At 37.3% G+C, this 27,493-nt stretch overlaps 1 protein-coding gene across 24 annotated transcripts in view; it reads left to right on the forward strand.

Moving 5' to 3' along the window:
- NRG3 (neuregulin 3) overlaps positions 1-27,493 on the forward strand; it is a 1,111,986-nt gene that overhangs the window by 255,513 nt on the left and 828,980 nt on the right. The window contains exon 2 of one of the 24 annotated variants that reach the window (NR_163251.1): positions 20,697-20,900. The exons of the other annotated variants lie outside the window; for them this stretch is intronic. The gene's annotated coding sequence lies outside the window, so the exon portion shown is untranslated. The remainder of the gene's footprint in view (positions 1-20,696; positions 20,901-27,493) is intronic. 24 annotated transcript variants of the gene reach the window in all.

Genomic DNA, 27,493 nt, shown 5'->3' on the forward strand with positions numbered 1-27,493 from the left:
TTGCCTGTCTTTGGATAAAAGCCATTTTGACTGGGGTGAGATGATATCTCATTGTAGTTTTGATTTGCATTTCTCTGGTGATCAGTGTTGTTAAGCACCTTTTCATCTGCCTGTTTGCCATTCGTGTGTCTTTTTTTGAGAAATTTCTATTCAGATTTTTTGCCCATTTTAAAATCAGATTACTGGACTTTTTTCCTATGGAGTTGTTTGAGCTCCTTATGTATTCTGGTTATTAATCCCTTGCCACATGGATAATTTGCAAATATTTCCTTCCATTCTGTAGGTTGTCAATTCACTTTGTTGATTGTTTTCTTTGCAGTGCAGATGCTTTTTAATTTGATGTGATCTTCTTTGTCTATTTTTGCTTTGGTTGCCTGTGCTTGTGGTGTATTACTCAAGCAATATTTACTCTGACAAATATCCTAGAAAGTATCCCCAATGTTCTCTTTTAGTATTTTCATTGTTTGAGGTCTTAGATTTAAGTATTTAATCCATTTTGATTTGATTTCTGTATATGGCAAGAGATAGGGGTCTAATTTCATTGTTCTGCATATGGATATCCAGTTTTCCCAGCACTATTTAAAGAGACTACCCTTTCCCCAATGTATGTTCTTAGCTTGTTTGTTGAAAATTAGTTCACTGTAGGTGTATGGATTTATTTCTGGGTTCTCTATTCTGTTCCATTAGTCTATATGTCTGTTTTTATGTATCCATGCTGTTTGGGTTACAATAGCTCTGTAATATACTTTGAGGTCAAGTAATGTGATTCCTCCAGTTTTTTTCTTTTTGCCCAGGTTGGCTTTGGGTATTCTGGGTCTTTTGTGGTTTCCCTATCAAATTTAGGATTATTTTTTCTATTTCTGTGAAGAATGTTATTGGTATTATGATAGGTGTTCTATCAAATCTGTATATTGCTTTGGGTAGTTTGGCATTTTAACAATACTGATTCTTGCAATCCATGAACATGGAATATCTTTATTTTTTGTTCTCTCTGTAATTTCTTGCATCAATGTTGTATAGTTTTCATTGTAGATAACTTTAATTTCTTTGGTTAAGTTTATTCCTAGGTATTTAATTTTATTTGTAGCTATTGTAAATGAGATTACTTTTTTATTTCTTTTTCAGATTGTTTTCTGTTGGCATATAGAAATGCTATTGATGTGTGTATGTTGATTTTATGTTTTCCAACTTTGCTCAGTTTGTTTATCAGTAGTAATAGTTTTTTTGGTGCAGTCTTCAGACGTTTCCAAATGTAAGATTATATCATCTGCAAGCAAGGATAATTTGATCTCTTCCTTTCCAAATTGGTTGCCATTTATTTCTGTCTCTTGTCTGAGTGCTCTACCTAGAGTTTCCAGTACTATGTTGAATAACAGTGGAGAAAGTGGGCATTCTTATCTTGTACCAGCTCTTAGAGGTAAGGCTTTCAGTTGTTCCCTGTTTAGTATGATACTAGCTGTGGGTCTGTCATATATGACTTTTATTGTGTTGAGATATGTTTCTTCCATACCCAGTTTTATAAGTATTTTTATTATGAAGGGATATTAAATTTTAACAAATGCATTTTCAATATCAATGGAAATAATCATATGGTTTTTGTTCCTCATTCTGTTAATATGATGTTATCGTGTTGATTGATTTGCATATGTTGAACCATCTTTGCATCCCTGGAATAAATCCCAAGTGGTCATGATGAATGATTGTTTTAATATGTTATTGAATGCAGTTTGCTAATATCTTTTATATATATATGATATATATGATATATATATGATATATATATATGATATATATATATCATATATATATGATATATATGATATATATATGATATATATATATCTTTGTCTGGTTTTGTTATCAGAGTAATACGGGCCTAATAGAAGTTTGGAAGTATTTCCTCCTCCTCCTCTAATTTTTGGAATAGTTTAAGTAGGATTGGTATTAGTTCTTCATTAAATATTTGGTAAAATTCAGCGGTGAAGCCGTCTGGTCTTGGGCCTTTCTTTGCTGCGATACTTTTTATTACAGCTTTGATCTCATTACTTGTTATTCGTCTATTCAGGTTTTGGATTTCTTCATGTTTCAATCTTGGTAGGTTGTATGTATCTAGGAATTTATCCTTTTCTTGTAGGTTTTTCAATTTATTGACATATATTTGCTCATATTAATCTCTAATTATTCTTTGAATTTCTTCAATATAAATTATGACATATCTTTTTCAATCTCTGATTTATTTGGATCTTCTCTTTTTGTAGTTAGTTTAGCTAAAGTTTTGTTGATTTTGTTTATTTTTACAAAAAATCAACTTCATTTTGTTGATTTTTTGTATTTTTTATTTCAATTTTATTTATTTCTGCTATATTCTTTATTATTTCTTTTCTTCTACTAATTTTAGATTTTGTTTGTTCTTGCTTTTCTATTTCTTTAAAATGCATCATTAAGTTGTTTATTTGAAATTTTTCTACTTTTTTGATGTAGGCTCTTATTGCTAGAAACTTTTCTCTTAGCACTGCTTTTGCTGTACCTCATATTTTTTTAACATTGTTATTTTGAAAAACTTTTATTTTAGGTTTGGGGATATATGTGAAGGTTTGTTACATACATAAACTCATGACACAGGGGTTGTTTTACAGATTATTTCATCACCCAGGAATTAAGTCCCATACCCAATAGTTATATTTTCTGTTCGTCTCCCTCCTGCCACCCTGCACCCTCAAGTAGACCCCCGTGCCTGTTGTTTCCTTCTTTGTATTCATAAGTTCTCTTCATTTAGCTCCCACTTATATGTGAGAACATGTGGTATTTGGTATTCTGCTTCTGCATTAGTTTACTGAGGACAGTAGCCTCCAGCTCCATCCATATTCTCACCAAAGACATAATCTCCTTCTTTTTTATGGCTGCATAGTATTCCATGGTGTATATGTACCACGTTTTCTTTATATTGTCTATCATCAGTGGGCAGTTAGGTTGATTCCATGTCTTTGCTATTGTGAATAGTGCTGCAATGAACATTCACATGCATGTGTATTTATAGTAGAATGATGTATATTTCTCTGGGTGGTATATACCCGGTAATGGGATTGCTGGATGGAATGGAAGTTCTACTTTTAGCTCTTTGAGGAATCGCCATACTGCCTTCCACAATGGTTGAATTAATGTACACTTCCATCAAGAGTGTATTTGTGTTCCCTTTTCTCTGCAACCTCACCAGCATATGTTATTTTTTGGCTTTTAAATAATGGCCATTCTGACTGGTGTGGGATGGTATCTCATTGTGGGTTTGATTTGCATTTCTCTAATGATCACTGATATTGTGCTTTTTTCATATGCTTGTTGGCTGCATGTATGTCTTCTTTTGAGAAGTGTCTGTTCATGTCCTTTGCCCACTTTTTGATGGGGTTGTTTGTTTTTCTCTTGTAAATTTAAATTCTTTATAGGTGCTGGATATTAGACCTTTGTCACATGCATAGTTTGCAAAAATTTACTCCCATTCTGTAAGTTGTCTTGTTTACTCTGTTGAAAGTTTCTTTTCCTGTGCAGACGCTCTTAAGTTAATTAGATCCCACTTGTCAATTTTTGCTTTCGTAGCGATTTCTTTTGGTGTCTGTCATGAAATTTTTGCTTTTTCCTATGTCTAGGATGGTAATGACTAGGCTGTCTTCCAAGGTTTTTATAGTTTGGGGTTTTATATTTACACCTTTAATCCATCTTGAATTGATTTTGGTATATCGTATAAGGAAAGGGTCCAGCTTCAGTCTTCTGCTTATGGCTGGCCAGTTATCCCAGCATCATTTATTGAATAGAGAGTCTTTTCCCCATTGCTTGTTTTTGTCAGCTGTGTTGAAGATCAGGTGGTCATAAATGTGTTGCCTTATTTCTGGACTCTCTGTTCTGTTCTATTGGTCTGTGTGCCTGTTTTTGCATCAGTATTATGCTATTTTGGTTATTGTAGCCCTGTAGTATAGTTTGAAGGTGGGCAACATGATGCCTCCAGCTTTGTTCTTTTTGCTTAGGATTGCCTTGGCTATTCGGGCTCTTTTTTGGTTCCATATGAATTTTAAAATTCATATAAAATTTAAATTTAAATTTATGTTCATCTAAATTTTAAATTTAAATTTATATAAAAATTTCAGCCAGACATGGTGGCTCATGCCTGTAATCCCAGTACTTTGGGAGGCTGAGGCAGGCAGATCACCTGAGGTCAGGAGTTCAAGACCAGCCCAGCCAACATGGTGAAACCTCATCTCTACTAAAAAATACCACAAAATTAGCCAGGCGTGGTGGCACATGCCTGTAGTCCCAGCTACTCGGGAGGCTGAGGCAGGAGAATCATTTGAACCTGGGAGGTGGAGGTTGCAGTGAGCCGAGATCACACAACTGCACTCCAACCAGTGTGAGTGGGACTCCCTCTCAAAAAAAAAAAAAAAAATTCCATATGAAATTAAAAATTTTAATATCTTTCCTGGATTATAGGGTTTCCACTGAGAATTCTGCTGCCACATATTCTAAAGCTTCATTGTATGTTATTTCTTTCTTTCTCCTGCTGCTTTTAGGATCCTTTTTTATCCTTGATCTTTGGTAGTTTGATTGTTAAATGTCTTGAGGTAGGCTTCTTTAGGCTAAATCTGCTTGGCATGCTGTAACTTTCTTTAATTGACTATTGATATCTTTCTCTAGATTTTGAAAGCTCTCTGTTATTATCCCTTTAAATAAACTTTCTACCCCATTTCTCTCTCTACTTCCTTTTTAAGGCAAATAACTCTTGGATATGCCCCTTTGAGACTATTTTCTAGATTTGGTAGATGTGCTTCATTCTTTTTGCTTTTGTTTTCTCTGACCTTGTATTTTGTAATAGCCTGTCTTCAGGCTCACTAATTCTGTCATCTGCTTGCCCTATTCTGCTTTTGAGAGAGTCTGATGCATTCTTGAATATGTCAGTTGAATTTTTCAGCCTTAGAATTTCTTCTTGATTTTTAAAAATGATTTCAATCTTTTCGTTAAATTTATCTGATAGGATTCTGAATTTCTTCTTTGTATTTTCTTGAATTTTGTCAAGCTTCCTTAAAACAGCAATTTTGAATTCTCTGTCTGAAATGTCACATATCTCTGTCACTCTGGGATTGGCCACTGGTGCCTTATTTGGTTTGTTTTGTGAGGTCATCTTTCCTGAATGGTCTTGATGCTTGAGGATATTCGTCAATGTCTAGGCATTGAAGAGTTGGGTATTTTTTGTAGTCTTTGCAGCCTAGGCTTCTTTGTACCCATTCTTCTAGGAAAGGCTTTTCATGTATTCAAATGGAATAGAGTGCTGTGATCTAAGTTTTTTTGTCACTGCAACCTTATCAGCATTAGGGGACACACCAAGCCCAGTAACACTGACTTGCAGATTCACAGAGGTAGTGCCTTGGTGGTCTTGGGTAAAACCTGAGAGAATTCTCTGGATTACCAGGCAGAGATTCCTGTTTTCTTCTCTTACTTTCCCTCAAACAAATGAGGTCATTCTCCTCTGTGCTGAGCTGCCTTCAGCTGAGGGAGGTGCTACCACCATTGGAACTGCTCTGGTTCAGACTTAGAGCCAGCATAGCACTGGGTCTCTCTCAAGGCCCACAGCAACCATTGCCTGGCTCCCACCTATGTTCATTCAAGGCCCAAGGGCTCTTCATTCAGCATGTGGAAATCCAGCCAGGCGTGTGTCCTTCTCTTTATTGATGTGAGCTCCCTTCAGCCCAGGGAGAGTCCAGAAATGCCATGCACAAGCCATGGCCTGGAGTCAGAAACATTAGGAATCTACTTGATGCTCCATTTTACTGCAGTTGAGCTGGTAGCAAAGCCACAATACAATGTTTTTTCTACTCCTCTCTTTCCTCAAGTAGGAGTCTCTCCCTGTGTCCACCATAGTTATCAATGTTCTGGGTTACACCAGAAGCCAGTACTGTATGCGGGTCTCACCCAAGTCCCATGGCAAGTACTGCCTAGCTATCTCTGATGTTTATTCAGGACCCAAGGGCTCTTTATTCAGCAGAACTTGGGTTCTCACCACTGGGATGGATGACTCCCCTCTGGCTAGGGCTGGTATAAATGCTCCCTCCGTGGGTTCAGGCTGAATTCTGCCATGTTGCTTTCCACTCTGACAGACAGCATCAAGTTCTAATGCGAAGTCTCACAATCACTGTACTCTTTCAAACACATAGATTCTTCATACCACGTGGCTGCTGCTGGGAGATGAGAGAGGGGTAACGTAGGCTTCAAGACTGTCTTTCCTACCCTCTTCAGTACCTCTTTCATTAATATGATGTCAAAACAAGGTACTGTGATTACTCACCTGATTTTGTTTTTTCTGGAGGTGCTTTCTTGTGTGGATAGTTGTTCAATTTGATGTTCGTGTGGGGGAAACAAATGTTGGAGGGTTCTATTTGGTCATCTTGTTCCCCCTCCCTAAGCTCCTCTGTAGATTTTGAATACCAATACTCGTGAGCTTGTTACACATCAGTAAGTAAGAGGTGTAGAAGAAAGGAAATAGCAGAAAAGACACTTGAGATTCTCAGTCAGGATTGCGCTTTTAGAACCAACTCTCTGCTCTGAGCCTTTATGTTGTGAGACGATAAAAATGTAATATTTAAATTCATGCTAAGCCGAAGTGCCAGAATATTAACTAAATGCAGGTGATGTTATCTTCCTCCCACAATACTATTATTTTAACTGATCTTAAACATAAATGGAAACACAGCTCCAGCTAGCACATTTCCTATATTTAAGCCACCCCATCATGAAAAAATAAATAGGTTCATGTAGGAATTGGTAAAGTTCCACAGCTTGAGGCAGAAATTACTGTTTGGTAGCCTATCTGATCAGTTATTTAGACACATTCGTAAACAGATCAGATTATTGATCCATAGAACTAATTGATTCAAGAAAACGGCATTTAGTGAAATTGAAATATCAGAATTTATGTCCTGTCTCAGAATCACTGGGCCAAAAAACATAACCCAGGCTTTAGTATTAAAAGATTGGAGCAGCAAGAATTTGTTATGCATCCACTCTGTGCCTGAGGCTCTGCTGAGCACTGTAGACACAGGCAGAGTCATATACTACAGACAGAATGTTAAGGGTTTATAATCCAGGGGATTTAAGTTAAATACCCCAGAATCTATTTCACTCTAAAACTGAATGCTAACATGCCCTTAGTGCTTTTTTCATGTAACTCAGAATGATCCTTGTCCTTAACTTGGGTAAGTCCGAAGTTTGACATTCAGGCTACTGGTATTTTCTCATCACTTGACAATACATAAAGAAGTTAAACAAAGAGAGTAATCAGTTTTCTGCTTTTTGTTTCTCAAAGTTCAATTTTCATTGCCCTCTATAGCTGAAGATATACAGTTTTCTAAGTTGTGAGAAACAAATCCTGTTTATCTATGATTTTCCTTAATTCAAATACATCTGTGTTTAGTTGAAAAAAATGTGTATATGTGTGTGTGTGTTTTGTCTTGCTCTTTTACTTATCCCTTCTTCTTGTCCCCAGCCCTCTGCACCAGACTTATTTGAAAACATTTTTCCTGGGGGAAAAATATGTCTTTAGAAAAGTACAAAATGCCCAAAGGTAGGATACATTTAATATGAAAGAAATAATTATTAGCTAACTTAAATACCTAATTTCCAAGTTGGCTTACTATATTGGCCCACATAGAAAGAGACACCTCTTCTGATTAAAGCAAGCAAGACCATTTGGTACTATCTTCTTGGCTTCTAATCATCCTCTTTATAGAGTGATACTACTGACAGTGGGATATTATACATATGAAGTGTATTAGTCAGGTTCTCTAGAGGGACAGAACTAATAGGATACATGTATATATGAAAGGGAGTTTATTAAGGAGAATTGACTCACATGATCACAAGGTAAAGTCCCACGATAGGCCATCTGCAAGTCGAGGAGCAAGGAATTCAGTGGTGAATCAGCGCGAGTACCAAAACCTCAAAAGTAAGGAAGCCTACAGTGCAGTCTTCAGTCTGTGGCCCAAGAGCCCCTGGGAAACCACTGGTGTAAGTTCAAGAGTCCCAAAGCTGAAGGACTTGGAGTCTAATGTTCAAGGGCAGGAAGCATCCAGCTTGGGAGACAGATGAAGACCAGAAGACTCAGCAAGTCTGCTCTTCCATCTTCTCCTGCTTGCTTTATTCTAGCCTTGTGGGCAGCTGATTAGATTGTGCTCACCCAGCTTGAGGGAGGGTCTGTCTCCCTCTGTCCACTGACTCAAATGTTAATCTCCTTTGGCAACACCCTCAAAGACATATCCAGGAACAATACTTTGCATCTTTCAATCCAATCAAGTTGACACTCAACCTTAACCATCACATGAAGTATGTTTGTAAATAAAAATGAACTCTGTATCATGATAATCCAAGGTGAAATGGACATTTACTTTTCTGGCAAGTCTGGGTGTTTTCTGCTTGGAAAGCAATGGCACTAGGTTGCATATACAGCCTCTAACAAGCAAGCTCCTGAAATATGATTTCTCATTGAGCAAAATGGTTATTCCACACATAACTGCAGTTTCAGCAGTGCCTTTTTGTTTCTGGTTATTAATTTCTATTTAAGTTGTGCCAAAGTCATTAATTTACTGAGCCAACATGGAAAATGTAAGGCAGTTAACTTTATAAATGACACCATCATGCTTCAGTATATTTGTGCTTAATGCCATTATACCACGTGAAAGATTCTAATTTCCTTATACTTGATGTAACTGGTGGTATTAGAATGCTAAGACTGTGGTAGTGTTTGTTGCTTTAATTGTACTGAACTGACTAGATACAAGTAGCCCGTTAAGTCCTCATTGTCCAATCTGAAAACTACATTATTGTTAATTTTTTTCTTTTGGAAGCATCAAGCTTTCTCAATATTGTGACACTTACATTACTGTTGAAGTCTTTAAGGAGAGAATAAATATGCTAATAACATTCTAGAAGCAACTAACTCTAAGCAAAAGTGAATAGTACAGCACTATCAAGGTGTACACTTTTTTCCCTGGAAAATTATCTCCATCAGGTAATGGGAAAGCACTGCTCTACAGAAAAGCAAAAAATGACTTATAAGCTTGATTCATTGTTACTTTAAAACCCTTCATATCTGAAGGTTAAGCTAACATTAAGGCAGTGTACAACTATCAGAACAATATTTCATATATTTGTATTTAGATGAATCACCAGATTTGTTAGTCTCTGAATATTTTCTATATTGAGCCAGATTTTAGCTGCCATTTTTGTGTTTTAATAAGGTTTTCAGTTGTTATCCAAATATGACCCAGTACCTGAATCAAAACAGCAAGCTTTGAGGAATAGGTCAGTATTTTTGGATAAACTAACAAAAAAAATGTTCATCAGGCTAAGACATCAGCAGTATTTGTGGTAGAATTAATGAGTATTGTTAGTGTATATTTTAACTGTTAATAGTCAATGCTCTATTTTTTCTATGAAAATTCAACTTCCTAGTCGACTCTTTGCACTCCTTCATTCACTTATTATTTTACGGATTTCCCTCTTGTGTCAGATCTCTAGAAATTCTCACTTTTCATCTGGTTTTACAATCATTTTCTATTTTTCTCAGCTCTAGAAAAGTCTCTAAACAACTCCAGGGCAGAGGATCCATTTGTTTAACAGTGGCTTCTTGATCAATAATTGCATGCATGAAACAAAGTATCAGAAATAGTTTGCTCTTTACACTATCAATTGGCTGATATTTAAACAAATTGTCTTTAAAGTCACTGCCGCAATTTTGTTTGGCAATGGCATTTTATTTAATTCATTTATTAAATGAGTTTCCAAAAATTAAGACCTGAATAATTTATGACTTCTTCTAATCTCAACAGAAATAAGTCAATGCTGGCTGGGTGCAGTGACTCACATCTTTAGTCCCAGGTACTTAGGAGGGTAAGGCTAGATGATCGCTTGAGCCCAGGAGTTGAAGACTGCAGTGAACTCTGATTACTATTTCACTCCAGCCTGGGCAACGGAAGGAGACCCCGTCTCAAAAAAATAAAAATAAAAAGTAAAAGAAAAGAGAAAGAAATAAAACAATGTTAATCTGTGTCTTGGCACGAAGTTTCACACTTCCATCAAATGGGCATCATTTTGTGCTGCTAATGTCTCTTAGGGCGATTTTAAAACAAACTAAAAATATGAAACACTGGATAGTGTTAGCCTTACCTAGCTTGATTTTCTTTGGGTGTACATGAATGCAAATAAATTCTACAATTTCTTAAATTCATATATATGTATATATGCACATACATATATTCATATATATGTTTATGTGTGTGTATATACATGTATAGGTATGGTGAGTACATATGGGGAACCAGTTGAAGGATGTTTCTTCTTTTACAAGAAAGGAGAGAAAACAATCTTCCCGAAAAGTGGTATTTACTAGCATGAAAAAGGATTGAGCTTCATATAGGTAGACATTACTGTATTTCTATCATAGGGTTATGTGTGTACATAATCCAATCTGTGTTTATAATTCACATACCTACTCTCCATTATTTTGATGATTCAGGAAAGTAATTTCTCAAAATTTTTCCTTTTGCAAATGTGCTTTTTAGATAACTCACTGGACCTAAACACTTGGCAGGCATTAGGGTCGACCTTCCCTGCTGGGTTGAAGAGGCTCTTTCATCCCCCAGACCTGCAGACTGAAAGTCAGCCAAAGTGCTAGAGATTCTGGCCCTTATGTACCTGCTGCCTATGGACTTGAGTTTTACAGAAAGAAAGCATTACTTGGCAAAAACCTGCTGATCATGTCTTTCCCCTTGGAACCTCACAGCACAAGGCCCAGGCTTACTTTTTGATTCAGTGATGGTGAATTGATGGACTATTATAGAACTTTTCACTTCTGTGAAGCAGCATTGTAGTATCAGCACCCTGCATTTCTCTTAAAATAAAAAAAAAATCACAGTGATTCTAGGTTTTAAAAAGTTGTATTATTCTGCCAAACCATCATAAAATGCTGAATCTTTCTAGTCAATTTTATTGCAAATAACTACTGCTAAAATAAAGTAGAATTAGGTAAGTAACTTTTTTGATAAGCATTTACATTCTTAAGATGTGCTACTGTTCAGTATGTGTGAACTCCTAAGTTGCCAGTACAGTGGGTGCTATTGCTATACTAACGCATTTCACCTGTCCTTTACCTCCTCTTCCAGAGGTGCATACTACGTGAAGTTTTCCAATTGCTGCTGCTTTATTTGCATTTAGTCACCCAGCCAAAGGTTCTCACATTTTATGATGCTTTATAAAAAGCTTCAAGAGCATATTTTAAAAGCACCCTGTCAGACCCCATGAATACACACTCTGAATCAATTGTTACAGATTGAGGCCAACAAATATTCATTTTTTCAAGCTTTCCTGGTAGCTCTTACTAATTCATCCAAGAACATCTTGTTGAGGAATACACAAAAGATTTTGACTGCAGGATTAACCTATTTATACCAAAGCTTTGTATTCCTGGAATGGAGCAGTTGCAAATGCTGATGACTATTGCATTAATTGATGCTTTGAGATGTAGCAGTACTCAACCTGTTCTCTAACATCTGACACTCTGTGGGAAAACAAACCAACAAACAAACAGCAAGAAGGAGTGGTTGAAATAGCAAATAGTCAACCTGGACAGTATCTGGCCTCCCAAGGGAGGCAGAAGTAGTCCTGAGGGATCCTGGGGTCAAAATGTGGTTGTGAAACCCAGAGAGGGGATAAGGGCTGGGTGTTCAGTAGGAACAGTGGGAACACGTGCTTCTGGTTGCTGTTTCCTTTTCACTTATCAGTTTACACGTTTCTAAGCTTAGAGTGGGGTATCGAGAAGCAGGGTCTCATTGGGCATGTATTATGCTGAGCTCAGCTGACTTCAGGAAACATAGCAAAGCATTATAAACTGTAAGGAAGAAGACAGTTACGATAGAAAATTTTATGACAACGTAATGTATCTCTCATGGAAGAGCTGGGGGATGTCCTAGTATAAGAGGTTCTAGAGTCAGCAATAAGATGTGAGAGTCCTCTCTCTCTCTCTCGCTCTTTTTTTTTTTTTTTTTTTGAGACAGAGCAAGACTCTATCTATCTCCAGGCTGGAATGCAGTGGTGCAATCATGGCTCACTGCAGCCTCAACCTTCTCCCACCTCAGCCTCCCAAGTAGCTGAGACTATGGGTGTGTGCCACCACACCTGGCTAAGTTTTTTTTTTTTTTTTTTTGGTTTCTGGTAGAGACAGAGTCTCACTATATTTCCCAGGCTGATCTGGAACTCCTGGGCTCAAGCGATCCTCCTGCCTTGGCCTCTGAAAGTGCTGGGATTACAGACCTGAGCCACTGTGCCCAGCCAAGATTTTCTTTTTTAATAACACAAAGACCAAGAGGCTCCCCAAACAGAAAAGTGATGAATGATATGAACTTAGTGCTAGGTTCCAGTTCAAGAATGCAGACTGATGCTGAAATGATGGCACAGATTGAAAGGCCAAGGACAGTTTCTGGCATCAAAGCCTAGGGCAAGGAGTTCAGGAGGCAGGGGGCGGAGACTAAATGCACATAAGTTGAGGATAATAAGATGACACAGGGCAGTCACTCAGAATTCAGTATACCACTAATGTGCATGTTTTGAATGCCTCAAGTCAGGCCAAAACTATTAGCCTTATTGAGCATGATTAGGTGTGCTGCTTTTCAGACAGTTACTGCAATTACATACTGTGCAGTTCAGTTCAGTGGTTGGTATAGTTAAGCAAGGGGGTGCCTGTATTGAAAGATTGTGGACTAGGTTTGCCTGTATTTCTTGTTTAAAAGTTGATTCTACTGTTACATTTGTTCTAAACAGTTGCATCAGTTTATATTAGCAGTTGATCATCTCTTGCCCATTGAAATCAATGTGATTTAGAAGCAAGATATAGAATCTGGAGTTAGGTAGTCCTGGGGCCTTCATTTACCACCCTTAGTTTATTGTCTGTATAAATGTGATAAATTATGTTTACCTTATAAGTGTTAAATGAGTGAGCATGTGTGGATATGTGGCTGGGCGCAGTGGCTTACGCCTGTTATCCCAGCACTTTGAGAGTCTCAGGCAGGCAGATTGTTTCAGCCCAAGAATTCGAGATTGGCCTGGGCAACATGGCAAAATCCTGTTTCTATAAAAAGTACAAAAATTAGCAGGGCATGGTGGTGCACACCCGTAGTCCCAGTTACTCAAGAGTCTGAGGTAGGAGAATCGCTGGAGCCTGGGAGGTCAAGGCTGCAGTGAGCTGTGATTGTGCTACTGCATTCCAGCCTGGGCATCAGAGTGAGACTTTGTCTTAAAAAAAAAAAAAAGAAAAGAAAAAAAAAAGAAAAAAAAGAAAGGGCATTTACTTGGAAGCATTCTTGGTATTCAGTAAATATTCACTGCTTTCTCCCTTTACTATTTAATATTCTCTGGCTTCATAAAATTTGACTCTTATGACTTCTGTGCTCTTATTCACGTGAGGCTTCTATTTAATTATCTTGTCAACTACTATGTGGTTGATTTAAGGTATGTGAAACAAGCATTCATCTGTTCCACATCATGTTTCTCCCTGGGACCACATCTATCTTATATTAAGTGATCTTTGAAGCAGCTCTAATAGGAATTGGTCCCTTGGGACAGGAAAACACCTGCTCCTGCTCTCTCTTGTGCTCGCACGTCCCAGGAGTCCTGACCTGTGTATTATCATAGGCAACACCACCCAGGACACCTGGCCATCTTCCATTCATGGCCTCCCCTTTGGTGAAGAATGTCCTCAATATTTGTGGCAATTAGCAGCTATTCTTGGGTAACCTTTAGTTAAAAGAGAGTAGTCTCATGGGCTAAAGACTAAAAAGAAGACGTGTAATAAAATTCCAGAGAAACAAGTCAACTCTGTCAGTGTTTATGTGAAAAGAGATCTGGGAGATCAGTGCTCAGCCTTCCCCAACAGATGCACAATGTTTTGTAGCAGGGAATTGGAAAACAAACTTTGACTTGGGATTCATTGTGTGACTCTTCATTCCACCACCAACAATCTGTGTGACTTCAAGCAAAACAGCTACTCCTGAACTTCTGTTTCCTCCTGTATAAAAAGGGGATACTGAAGCATCTAATGGTTTGTTGGAAGGAATGAACTGAAGATCAGTTGTAATGCTCTAAGACAAAGCTGGCTTATGATAAATGCTAGTCTCATTCTCCTTGTTGTCTTTTGAGAATTGCCCTTTGTTTCTTTTATGAAAATAACATTTCCATCTTTCCCATCCCACTTTTTCTTTTAAAACTGCTTCCCTGTACACATGGGGCAGCCACCCAATAGCTCCTGAAGGGATATACATGTATCTCTTTAAAGGGGATGCAGCTGTCTGCATTGTTTGCATTGCTTGCACAGTGGTGGGCACTGGTGTCATAACCCATTGCCATAGCTAAGCCTTTCTCTTTGGTATGGCTGGCTGTGTGCATGCACTAGAACTCGGTATGGTGTATTTCCCCAGAGCTCAGTCAACAAGGAATTGCTAAAATGAAATGCCATTTCTGCTGACTGTAAATGGAAGACCCTATTTTCTTTCATAAATGTGTGAAAATTCAAATAATTACCCTACTATTTGATGTCCAAGTTGGTAAAGATCAACTAGCAGTAAGTCCCAGCATTTAGTTATAACATATTTGACTTTTGCTTTGAGCCCAAGAATCTTCAACATACTTGGCTGTAAAATGGGAATATCAAAGCTCATGTGTTCTCACATGATTTTTATGGAAAGCAAATGTATAATGTACCTGACAAGGAGACATAGGTATTTGTGTGATGGCCTCAACATCATATTAAAACCACCAGTGATTTTCTTATTGATATGTTAATCTCTTATCACATGGGAACTTTTTTCTTTGATGGTCAGTTTGCTTTCATCTTGAAAGAAATCAATTGTTGATGTACGCTGTGTGTTAATTGCTTCGTTAATACTGCTCTGGTACAATAACCAACTGTAGCTGAAATAATTTGGCATGTTCAGTACTGTTCACGTTGGATAGTAAGTATTGTGTGGTTAAAATGAAGATATCTATGGCAAACTTGCAACAATCCCAAAACATTGCTTTTCTGGTTATATATCCAGAGGCAGTTTTTTTTTTCCCATATTCATTAGTGGTCATCGCTCTCCACAGGCCATTGCAATAGATAAGTAGGTAGTAACCAGGGTAAAGAATTAGGTTGCCTAGAAGGTCAGTGAACCATACAGAACTTGCATATGACTAGCTGATGCCTAGTTGTTGAGGTGAACATTGTGATAAAATCATATTTGCTGGGAGTGGCTGACAGAAAATATTTTGTGAGTGAGTTAAACACCTCACATCTTGACATAAGGCATGTATCAAGCTGTTTATGACAGCATCTGATTCAGAAAAAGTACTTTTTTCAGTATTAACCATCCAATGCAAATATTTAAAGCCTGCTTTTGTTTCTATCAAAGAGAATGTTGGGACAGAGATTGTAAAAGAGAATAGAGCCTGCATATTTTCAGATCCTACTGAAATACAGCTAAACTTAGATTGTTTATAGAGAATTGCACATTTCAATATTTTAGTATTTGTCTTACTCCAAATGTCGTTTGGGTTGTCTGGGATTTTATCCTTGGAATATATTGCAAGTGATCTCTGTGTTATTCGCCTCAGCTCCTGAATTCTGATTTATCGTCTCTAGTAAGCAAGCCAGTGAGCATCACACAGGAGATTCTCAGGGCTCAGTCATTCAAGAAGTGTGGACTGTTGAAATTTAGGCTTTGTGTACAATCTGGGTAACAAACCGTAAAGGCATGTTTTCTTCCTAAAGCTCTATGGAAAAGTCATTTGCCATATTACTTCCCCCAACAGCGTGCACCCTGATGTGGAGAGATGCAGAGTGTGGTCCAATAATAATATTGACCATATGCTTTTCTAAGGCAAGCAGACATACAGTAGATACTTTAATTTTGGTCGTTGGGGTATGGAAGGAGGTGGGAAGTGGAGAAAGGAGAGTAACCCATTACCTGTCTGGCCTAAGCTTGTTATGATCTGACAGATGGGTAGCCCCAGGGCTGCTTGCAAAAACTATTTCTTTTTGTCTCCATCACAGAGCCCTGGGGTGTGGTACAGGGAGGGTTGACCAAGAGAGGGGAGGCTTCCCTGATGGAGTGTGAGGTCTGGCAGCAGGACCTGACAAAAGTGAGTAGACTGTCTGGGTCCAGCCAGCTATAAAAGGAAAGAACAGAATAACAGCTACAGCTCGGTGGGAGTTCTAGTACCTGGATTTTCACCCAGGTGGATGCCAGGCCTGATTGTCTATCTCCTGAGGAATTTCCAGACTTTGTCAGAGTTCTTCAGGAACTGACCAGATCCAGTTTGCAGGTTGGGGGTCATCACTATTTCCATTGGGTCAAATTGGAGTAAGCAGATACCAAGAGTCACTTACAAATCACTAACATCTATTAGATACTGACCATTCTCTCATTTTCTCACATCAACCATGTGAGATAGGTATTATTATTGTTCCTGTTTTATAGATGCAGAATCTGTGATTTGTCTGGAACCACAGCTATAAGTGGTGCAGCTTGGATTTGATCTCACATTTGATTTTCCCTGTGATCCCTGGGATCTGGCTTAGGTTTGGATATGCCTCTGAACAAATGGTAAACAAGGGAACCTAAATGTCCATAGGTGTCTATTTACCTGGTTGTCCTTAGTTCAGCATCTTTAAAATACAAAAATAGATTTGTTGAGAATACTCATTTCCATTATTTTAATGAGAATAACAACTCAGCTAACTTTTAACATGAATATACACTAAAACCAAAAGTATTATGCTGATGGCAATCTCTACTTCCTTCTTATTAAAGCTTATGAGCCATGGAGGACCCTGCCCAGCCTGAGCTGCCCAATGTGCCTGCGTTAGCCAGCCTCAGTGTGTCCCTTTGTAAAGCGCCCCAGACCTTTTGAGTAGGGATGACCACTTCTTAATTCATGGTATTTATCAGTAATCATGCATATGCAAAATTTTCAACTTCTGCTTAGAGCCTTTACTAATTTATTTCTGTGAATGCTCTGATTCCTTCCAAATGACTCTGTAAGATGATGGTTGCAGGCTTCATTAGTTCAACCTTCAGAATCACTCAATGTTACAGTCCCAGTTTTCTCTCTCTTTTACCCAAATAGGCTTTACCTATATTAATGATTGTTGCTGGGCTCTTCGACAAGATATTTCAAGAATGGGAAAAGCGTTTTAAAAGAAGTTTCATGAGGCTTTGGAATTCACAAGCTGTGAGCAGCACTGGCAGATATTTTTCCAGGGTGTTCATTTTTATTCATTTCCTTATAGCTTTTATGGCTAACCGTTCTAAGACATATACAGTGCTGTGTTGTGATCAAATTTTCTCCTCTGATAGAAGTCAAACTTTGAAAACTTAGATTCCTAGAATTGTTGAACATTCTAATCAAAAACTTCTTTGAGTCAATCCAGTTTAAAATATCACTGATTGCGGGGGGGTGGCTCACACTTGCAATCCCAGCACTTTGGGAGGCCGAGGTGGGAGGACTGCTTGAGCCCAGGAGTTCAAGACCAGCCTGGGCAACATAGCAAGACCCCATTTCTAAAACAAACAAGCAAATAATAATAAAATATCACTCATATTTTAGTTCTTTCTAACCCATGGTTGATACTCTCAACCACAGAGTGAGGAACTTACTTTCTGCCTACCATTTAATCTTTGATCTCTAAAGGTTTGGACCAAATGGCTTTTTTGCCGTAAGCTTAAATATCTTGTCTTATTTTTTTTTCCTACCTATTTGTCCAGGTTGTTTTCTTTGCATTTAGGACAGTGGTTCTCCATACGTGTGCATCAAAATCACCTGGAGTATAAAATACAGATTCCTGGGGCTGGCTGTGGAATCTCTGATTTGGCAGGGTTTAGGGAGAGGCCTGAAACTGCATTTTTAACATGTTCCTGGGTCGTATTGATGATACTGATTCTCACCTTGGGAATCACTGACCTAGGAAATGTCTTCTCTTCATCCAAAGAAACCCTTACAATCCCCAAAGATGCCTTTTTTTCTCCTGGCTGAACAACCCCAATTTCTATGACTTTCCTTTTTAGACTTCAGCTTCTCCACCATCTCACCATCCACACTTCTTGCTTGCCTGTCCTGCTTGCCTATCACTCACTGAATTTCAGGGAGCCAAACTGGCAATATAAATGAGTGAACCACCACAGGTGGGGGTGAGATGAGTCAGATAGGGAAGACAGCAGAGACTGTCTACCCGGAATCAACTGAGGAATGCAGACCTCACCCAAACAATTCACATTCCTGTTTTTTTGTTTTTGTTTTTGTTTTTGTTTTTTTTTTAAGCATCAAGCCTACCTAATAAAATATGAATTATAAAAAATAATTCAGTTGCCTAGATTTGACCCCAATGAATGATAGTTTGAGGTCTTAAAATATAATTAAAATGCAGCTTGAACCTGAAAGTGGCAGACTATCAAGTTATTATCCCCAGTTGTTTGGGTTTCTATTACATGAATCCAGTTATAAAAATAACACTTAATACATTATAAATTCCTAATTAGGGAGCTACCCAGTAACTGATTATATTGACAAAGTCATGCCATAAATAAGAATTAAAAAGTTAATATAATTGATTAGCTAGGATGCCCTCACTCTTGTTTTTGCCATTATTTAAAATTTAATTGCTTTGCAACATTTCCAGATGTTGATTTTGGACATTTTTTCATGTGTTTTATTGCCTGTGAGCAGTTTTTATGTACTTGTAATCGGAGCTTTTCACGTTTCTTGGATGTAGAAAAATCAATTAAAATGAAGCAAATATTTTTGAAACCTAACCAGACTTTTGTCTTTGTTTTCTCATAAAGTTCCTCCATAGAAATGTGTGGCATGGGAACAGAGCCTAATACTTTCTGAATAAGATATTAACAGGCTTGTAGTGGATGCTGGGAATTTAGAAAGCTCTGTTTTTTTTTTTTTTCTAAAGCCTCCCAGTAGAATGTCAGACTAATAAATGGACTGCATATTTCCACAGTGTTTTTATGACATGTTTCACACACTGTCTTGGTGCAGATATGAGAAAGCCCTTGTCCACAGCCCAGTTCTGACTCACTCATTAATTTTACCTTGTATTCAGTTTTCTTGGGGTGGATCTAGACTAGAATAGAATAGAATAAGCCGACCTTTAACTACAGTCCTTAAATGAGGAAATCTCCACCCTGGGCCAGCTGTGCCAGGAATCCCGACGAGATGGAACTCCGCTGTGGTTTATAGGCAGGGCTGATTTTCAGGGGGGAGTGCACCCATCTGGACTCCCTGCTGTTCCCATCAATCTATTCCAGCCCTGGTACCCCTGGACCACCCTACTGTCCAGCAACTAAAGGATTAACAGGAGCCACCTCCAGGAGCCTCCGGGACCCTTCAGAAGGTGTCTGATTTGATGGATCAGAGGCTAGGCCACTGCCAGCTCTCTGCACATATTTTACATATCACCCATTTGCAGGTGTTGAAGACCGGTAAGTGCCCAGGAGCTGGCAGGTGTTGCAAACATGTCAGTGTACCTGGTGGGGGCGCTCCTGCCCAGCTGATAGGAGACAGCTTCTACCCAGCCCACCCCTTTGGTGGCTACACCAGCTTGGCACAGTCTCTCATTGCTGAAGAGCATCCCCCCGCCAACTCCGCCCAATCCCCACCTCCAGTCTTGACTACTTTTCATTGGTTTGTTTGTTTAAATTGACATCTCCTGATTTTCAAAACCTTGCTGATTAACAAAGCAAAAAGAGCACACACAAAAAAAAAAAAAAAAAAAAAAAAGTCAAAAACAAAGCAAAAAACTCTCAGTCTAAAACAGATAAACAAACCAACAAACAAAGCCCAGGGGCTGCTAGAGGTTGACTCTTGTAAACTGCAAGAACGGACACCACAAACTCCAGAGCAGAGGGCGCCTGGACATTCCAGTGACTTCATCAAGCAGTAAAATATCCGTCTTTCATCTGCTTCTGCTGATGACCAATACTATGCCTGTCACAATTTCCAGTCTTTTAGAGCTACTCTTTGATTACACACAACCGAGACTTTTTCTAAGCCTAGGACATTTTCTGTGTCCTTTTAAACATTGTTTACATCAAAATAATGATATGGATAGGTAAAAGAAAAATACAAAACTACTTGTGCTGTAAAGTAGTTCTATTTTAGAAAAGGAAATCTTGACAAAACTTGAGCCTTGTTAGGAAAAAAGAAAAATGACAAAGCAGTCATGTACAGAAAGCCTGGATAGGATTTTCAATCTCCTTGTGCAAAATCTGGCAAAAATGTATGCTAAGGGTCCAAAGCAGGAAGTGCTCAGAAAGCAAATACAGAAACTCAGCTTAGCAAAGGGGCGAAGCCAGAGAGGGATATAAAGGAACAGAGGAACGGCTGAGGATAGAGGTGAGGAAGCTGGACTCACACAGACTGGGTCTTGCTCAGCCTTCTGCAGTACCAGTGTCAGGGCCAGGCACACAGGAGTGACTAGGAGTTTGAACTGAAATAATGCATGACTAAGAATTAATTTGGGATGGTCTTCAGGTGGAATGATTGGAAATGTTGTTTTACTTTTAATTTTTCAGTACATGAAAGAAAAGATGCCTGTTTTCTAATCATTGAAATCTTATTATGTACAGAAATTTTCCTAGCAGAGCACACGAGGATGAAAAAGAATCAGATGGGAGATGAGGATCAGGACTCTTTCTGTGAATCGGAACCTCTCTGCTCTGCTCCTTTTCTGGTTTCCTCTGTCTGTCCTTCTCTTGTCTCCATTATTCATCCTGTTTCTGCCTTGATGTCATCTTGTTGGATGTCCCATCTCACTTAGTCGTCTGTAATTTGTAAGTAGCATTTAAATTATTTGTGGTCTTTATCTAATAAAGCTTTATTCTCTCTGGTCTTGATGAATGAAGAAGGCAAACTGAGCCTTGTTTTTTCCCTTATTGTCTTACTTCCCCAAAGCACCTGAATGAGTTCTGTGTGGTCTTTATTGACCTGTGATGATCACTGTCCCATAAAAAAAGCATGGTAGCGTAGTGCTTCAGCATAGGCTCTGCTCAGAAGACTTGGATCCCAATCCTTACTCACTTGTCGAGGGAGTTTGAACAAATAAGTGAATTTCTATTGACCTCACTCTTTCACATATGTATAAGGGGAATTGTAATAGTACATGTTTTTTTAGGTCATTAAGAGGATTAAATAGATAGAATATAAAATACGTTAGCATAAGTGCCTGGGACAGGGAGAATACTCAGCTAAGTTGGAAATCAGGTGTTGGCAAACTTTTTCTGTAAAAGGCAAGAAACTAAATATTTTAGGCTTTGTGAGTCAAAGTCTCTGTCTTAACTCCTTAACTCTGCCATTGTACCGTGAAAGCAGCCACAGACATATGTAAATGAGTGAGTGTGGGTCTGTTCCAGTTAAACCGTATTTACAAAAAGGGACAGCAAATAAGATTTGGCTCATGTCTCTCAGTTTGGCGATCCTATTGTAGAATATAGTTTTGACATACTGGAAACAGCTTCTCTGTAAGTTAGGATCTGCTTTGTTGCTAACTAATTTAATGTGAAATTTAATTGACCTATCCATATGCTACATCTGACAAATAGTTTGGCACACAATTTGCTTAGCCTTTGTATCTCGAGGACCAGAGAAGTTAAGTACGTTTGGCCAAAAGTCACCCAGCAAATTGATGACAGATCTGGGGCAGAGTTCAGGGCTCGTGTTCTCAGTTCTGAACTATTTCTTTTTTTTTGAAATGTGTGTTATCGGGGACGTAGCTCTGTGATATCAAGAGACTGGGACTGAAGATCTAGTTTTGCCAGTTGCGGAACCTCAGATTTGTACCACTCACTATATTTGGACCTCAGCTCCCTCATTGTCAAATAGATAATAATTCCCATCTCACAATTTTACAGTGTGAAAACAAGAAAATGCCATATATGGAAAATGCCATATATTTGAAATCTCTATTGCTGTGGTTGGCCAGCTTCCTTCCTGCCTTCCTTCTTCTCCTTCTCCTTCTTCTTCCCCCACCCTCCCCTCTCTCTCTCTTTTTCTTTCTCTTTCTCTTTTTCTTTCTTTCTTTCTTTTCTTTCTTTTTCTTTTCTTTCTTTTTCTTCCTTTTCTTTCTTCTTTCTCCTTTTTCTTTTATTACTTAATTAACAAATAATAATTGCATGTATTAATGGGGTACAATGTGATACTTTGATACACACACGCGCACACACACATTGTAGAAAGATTAAACCAATTTAGTTAACATTTATCACCTTATCTACTTATAATTATTTTGGGGATGAGAACTTTTAAAATCTACTCTTTTAGCAATTTTAGCTATGTAATATATTTTTATCAGCTATGGTCACCATGCTATGTTACAACTTATTCCTACTGTTTAGCTGAAACTTTTTACCTTTTGGTCAACATTGCACCTTTCCCCATTCTCCCTATCAACCTCTGATAAACACCACTGTACTCTCTGCTTCTATGAGTTTGACTTTTTTAGATTCTACATGTAAGTGAAATCATACAGTATTTGTCTCTGTACTTAGTTTATTTTACTTAACATAATGTCTTTCAGTTTCATCCATGTTGTCACAAATGACAGAATTTCTTTTTTGTGTAAGGCTATATAGTATTCCATTGTGTGTGTGTGTGTGTGTGTGTGTGTGTGTTTTCTTTATCCTTTGATCATTTGGTGGGCAATTACATTGCTTTTATACCTTGGCTAATGTGTATAATGCTGAAATGAATTATGAGTGCAGGTATCTCTTTGACTTACTTATTTTAATTCCTTTGGGCATATACTCCGTAGATGGATTGCTGGATCATATGATAATTCTGTGTAATTTGGGGCGGGGGAACCACTACACTGTTTTCCATAGTGGCTACACTAATTTACATTTCTATCAACAGTGTACAAGGGTTCCCTTTTCTCTGCCTCCTTGCCATCACTTATTATCTTTCGTACTTTTGATATTAGCTATCCTACAGGTATGAGGTAATATCTCATGTTGGTTTTAATTTGTATTTCCCTGACAATTAGAGATGGTGAACTTTTTTTTCATATATCTGTTGGCCATTTGTATGTCTTCTTTTAATAAATATCTATTCAGGATCTTTATTCACTTTTTGATTTGGTTATTTCTTTTTTTTAACATTCAGTTGTTTGAGTTCCTTATATATGATGGATATTAGCCCCTTATCAGATGTATGGTTTGCCTATATTTTCTCCCAATCAGGAGGGTGTCTCTTCACTCACTTCGTTCTTAATTGTTTTCTTTGCTATGCAAAAAGTTTTTAGTTTGGTGCAATCCCATTTGTCTGTTTTTGCTTTTGTTGCCTATGCTTTTGGGGTCCTATCCAAGAAATCGTTGCCCACACCAATGTTGTGAAGCTTTTTCTCTACATTTTCTTCTAGTCATTTTAAATTTCAGGCCTTATATTTAAGTCTTTAATTCACTTTGAGTTGATTTTTGTGTATGGTATAAGACAAGGGTACAATTTCATTCCTCTGCATATGGATATCCAGTTTTGTCAGCACCATTTATTGAAGAGACTGTGCTTTCCCCATTGTATATTCTTGGCACCTTTGTCAAAAATCAATTGACTATAAATGTGTGGGTTTATTTCAGGGCTCTCTGTTCTGTTCCATTGGATTATATTTCTCTTTTTATGCCAGTACCATGATGTGTGTGCTATTATAGCTTTGTAATATATTTTGAAATCAGGAGTGTAATGCTGTTTTGCTTTTTTTGCTCAAGATTGCTTTGGCTATTTGGGGTTTTTTTTTTGTTTCATATAAATTTTAGAATTGTTTTGTCTATTTCTGTGAAAAATGCCATTGGAATTTTGATAGAGATTGCATTGAATCTGTAGATTGCTTTGGGTAGTTTGGACATGTAAATGATATTAATTCTTCTAATCCATAAGCACGGGATTTCTTTCTGTTTGTACATGTTGCCTTTAATTTATTTTATCAATTTTTTTTGGTTTTCACTTCCTCAATTAAATTTATTCATAAGTTTTCTTTTTGAAATACTATTGTAAATTGGATTGCTTTCTTAATTTCTTGTTTGTATAGTTTATTGTTAGTGTTATAGGAAATGTACTGATTTTTGTATGTTGATTTTGTAACCTACAACTTTATTGAATTCTTTTATCCATTCTAACAACTTTAGGTGAACACTTTAGGGTTTCTTCTATATAAGATCATCAGCAAACGGAGACAATTTCACTTCTCTTTTTTATTTCAATGCTTTTTATTGTCTATAAATTTATTGACTGCTCTTTAATCTTTCACCTACTTTGTAAGATAAATTTAGTGAAACAGGTTAGACAGCATGGAGGACTCTGATACAAAACGATTTTATAAAAACACACAGATATAAATGTTTTCTGATTAATGGCCATTAGCTAGTTTCCCAATCAGAGCACGTTTTCACCTGTGCTCTTTAAATTGCTTTCAATGTAGAGTTACAAAATGGAAACTTAAGGGTCAGAAAAGGTCAAATTACATTAATGACAGTCCTCATGATAGTGTTGATTTAATCAGGATGCCTACCTTTGTTCATTTACCTTTTAAAAATAAGTATAATATATTGCAGATCACTAATACTGCTGTTAGAGAAGGTGGTTATTGTATTAATGGGATATCAGTAACCTTCTCTCTACTGTGACATGGATTACTGTAATTATGAAAGAGACATAAGGAAACACCATAAGCACTATCCATTGGGCCCCAGGCTTCATTAGTTCTCATATGGCTGTGTAAAAATGCTAATTACAAACATATCGTAATAAAAAGGGTATGGCTTAATGCCAACATGTACCTGCTAATTTGATATTTATGATGGTAGAGTGAAGCACATATAATCAAAAGCAAAGAGACTTCAGTAGAGCAGCATTCTGTATTTTGCTGACTGAAGAAGGCTGTGAGATTATCCAGCCATTTATTTAATTAAAATAATATTGACTGGTGACCATGTTATTTTATTTAGTAGATGTGTAAGCATATTCATTTAATTTTCAATATTTATATTTCATGTGATTATAAAAATGATAAAAGCTCAATACATAACAGGTAGTATGGACATGTACAGAAAACAAAGGTAGCAGAATCCTCTAAACTTTAGCTGCTTCCTGGTCTACATTTATATGCACCTTTCTCACTAGAAAACATATCGATTATTTTCTGAATTGTAATTGTTCAATTTAAAAATAATTTTAAATAAGGAAATGTTGGGGAACTGATATAGCTCAGTGTTGAGGCAGAGATGTTCCTCTGTTCATATGTTTTGGCCATTTTTATGTGAAGCTGTAGAGAACAGTGACTAGGGTACTTGTGCTAACATTGTCCTCCTTATTAAATTGGACATACATCATATTTTAGGGCAAAATTTCACTTTCTGATTTCTCAGAAAGCAAAAGCGATATCAAAAAGTATATCAATCTACACTTACATAGATTGATTATAACATTTTCATTTATTTTTTTTTTCACAAACACTCATTGTGTTCTGTCTGTCTTTGGAATGAGATATACCTGAATTTCAGTCTCAGCTTTGCTCCTTAACAACTGGAAGGTATGTCCATGTAACATGATCCCCCAGGCCTCAACTTCCTCATCCAAAATCTATAGATTAAAATTTGTCTTCTCAGGTATTGTGAGCCTTTTGTGAGATCATCTTTATGAAGTTCCTGGCAAGAACAGGTACTCTGAAACTGTTAGCCAGCATAATGTCAATATCACCTCCTATTATTAGTGCCATGGTATTTTGTGAAGTGTCTTATTAACATAAATATACATGGGTAAACATTTTCACAAGGATGTCTGTAAAAAAAAGAAATTTCTAGTGAATTTCCAGAATTGGAAAATTGTGGAATTTATCCTTCATCAGATTTTAGCTCCAATGGTGTCTACCTGCCAGAGTGCTTTGAAGGAAGATCCATGGAGTTTAAGATAAAGTTAGCTTGTTTTACAGTACCTGTTACTTTTATAGGTTTTTTTACATTTTAATAGCTATTAATAATATAGGTATGATTATCAGCATGAAGCTCCCATACAAATAAGTTTATGTTGAAAGTGTCAATCGTCATTAATATCCCATAAGAAGAAACTATTTAAAACTTCATAGGAGTTCATACATGGGGTTCCCATGGCAACAATGGAGCTTATAATTTTTAATTTATTGCTTAATTTTCTCTAAACTACATTGTCATTGCATCGGCAGGAATCCCAGTCTGTAGTAATGATGGGGATTAAATGGTCATTATGAAGTTGTTCAACATTCTTGTGATTTGCTTCAGGGAACATTGGCTTTGGGTATCTTTGAATGTACTATTAAGCATTGTTAAATCCATTTAAAATAGACTGAGTTTACAGGGAAATGAAGTATATTTTCTTATTGCAATTTATCATCCAGTAATAATGGTAAATATTGCAAGTCAAAATTTAAGGCCAAATGTAACTCAACAGTGAGCTGACTAATGGCTGTCTTGTGCTTAAAGAAAGTATATTGCTTTTGCATTTAACCAAATGGTCATTGAAAAGTATAAAAAGATATTTAATAGCTACAAGTCATATTCCAGAAGGATTCAATCTGTAATATAAAATGAGCCAAAGGAATCGGTTGCTGTCTTGTTAAAGAAGATAATCATTACCTGAGATTTTATTTTTCTTATAAGTATCTCCTCCTATGTCAAGGTCAAACTGATAGCAGGTTAGAGGTTTGTGTCTATGGACATCTATTTTGCAAAATACAGCTATTCATAAACTAATCCTGAAATCATTTAAAATATTGCAGGATCAATTCAACATACCTATACAGTGTCAATTCAGGGAGGTCAGGAAAGTCTGTAAGGGAGAAATGGAATATTAGCTGGGAAGCATGGGGAGAATCCAAACAGAAGGGAGGCAGGGAATAGGCAGAAGAATGACAGACATGAATACCATTGGCAGAATGTTTGTGGTGTTATTGTAAGTTAAAATGTTAAGGGAGAAGGAGGCATAGAAATTTGCTTTCCAGGTGGGAAATTTGATCAAGAGTCTATCTTTTAGGAAACAGACAAGATGGAATATAGATCTTCCAGCTTGTAGTATGTTTCAAGTGTTTTAAGAATACAACCCAAACATTATCAAGTGATGTTTTAGGCAAAGGAGAAAGTAATGTGCATGATACTGAATGTTCCTGTGAGCATCAAGGAACGTGATTAGCATCGGGAGCCCTGTGAAATTGTCTAGGTCACTCACATACCTTTGTGTTCCTTTAGGATTATTACAAAAAACACTCCTATCAAGGTAGTTTAGAAAACATGATCTCCATTTAATAGAAAGGGGATATTTTGTTTTTCTAGAGTGGTAACTGAACCTTGATAAGGAAAATATGCAGAAATGAGTGAAAAATGGGGCCAAGTTGTTGACTACATTGAAT

Source organism: Homo sapiens, chromosome 10 (genome assembly GCF_000001405.40).
Source record: "Homo sapiens chromosome 10, GRCh38.p14 Primary Assembly".
Classification (NCBI taxonomy): Eukaryota; Metazoa; Chordata; class Mammalia; order Primates; family Hominidae; genus Homo; species Homo sapiens.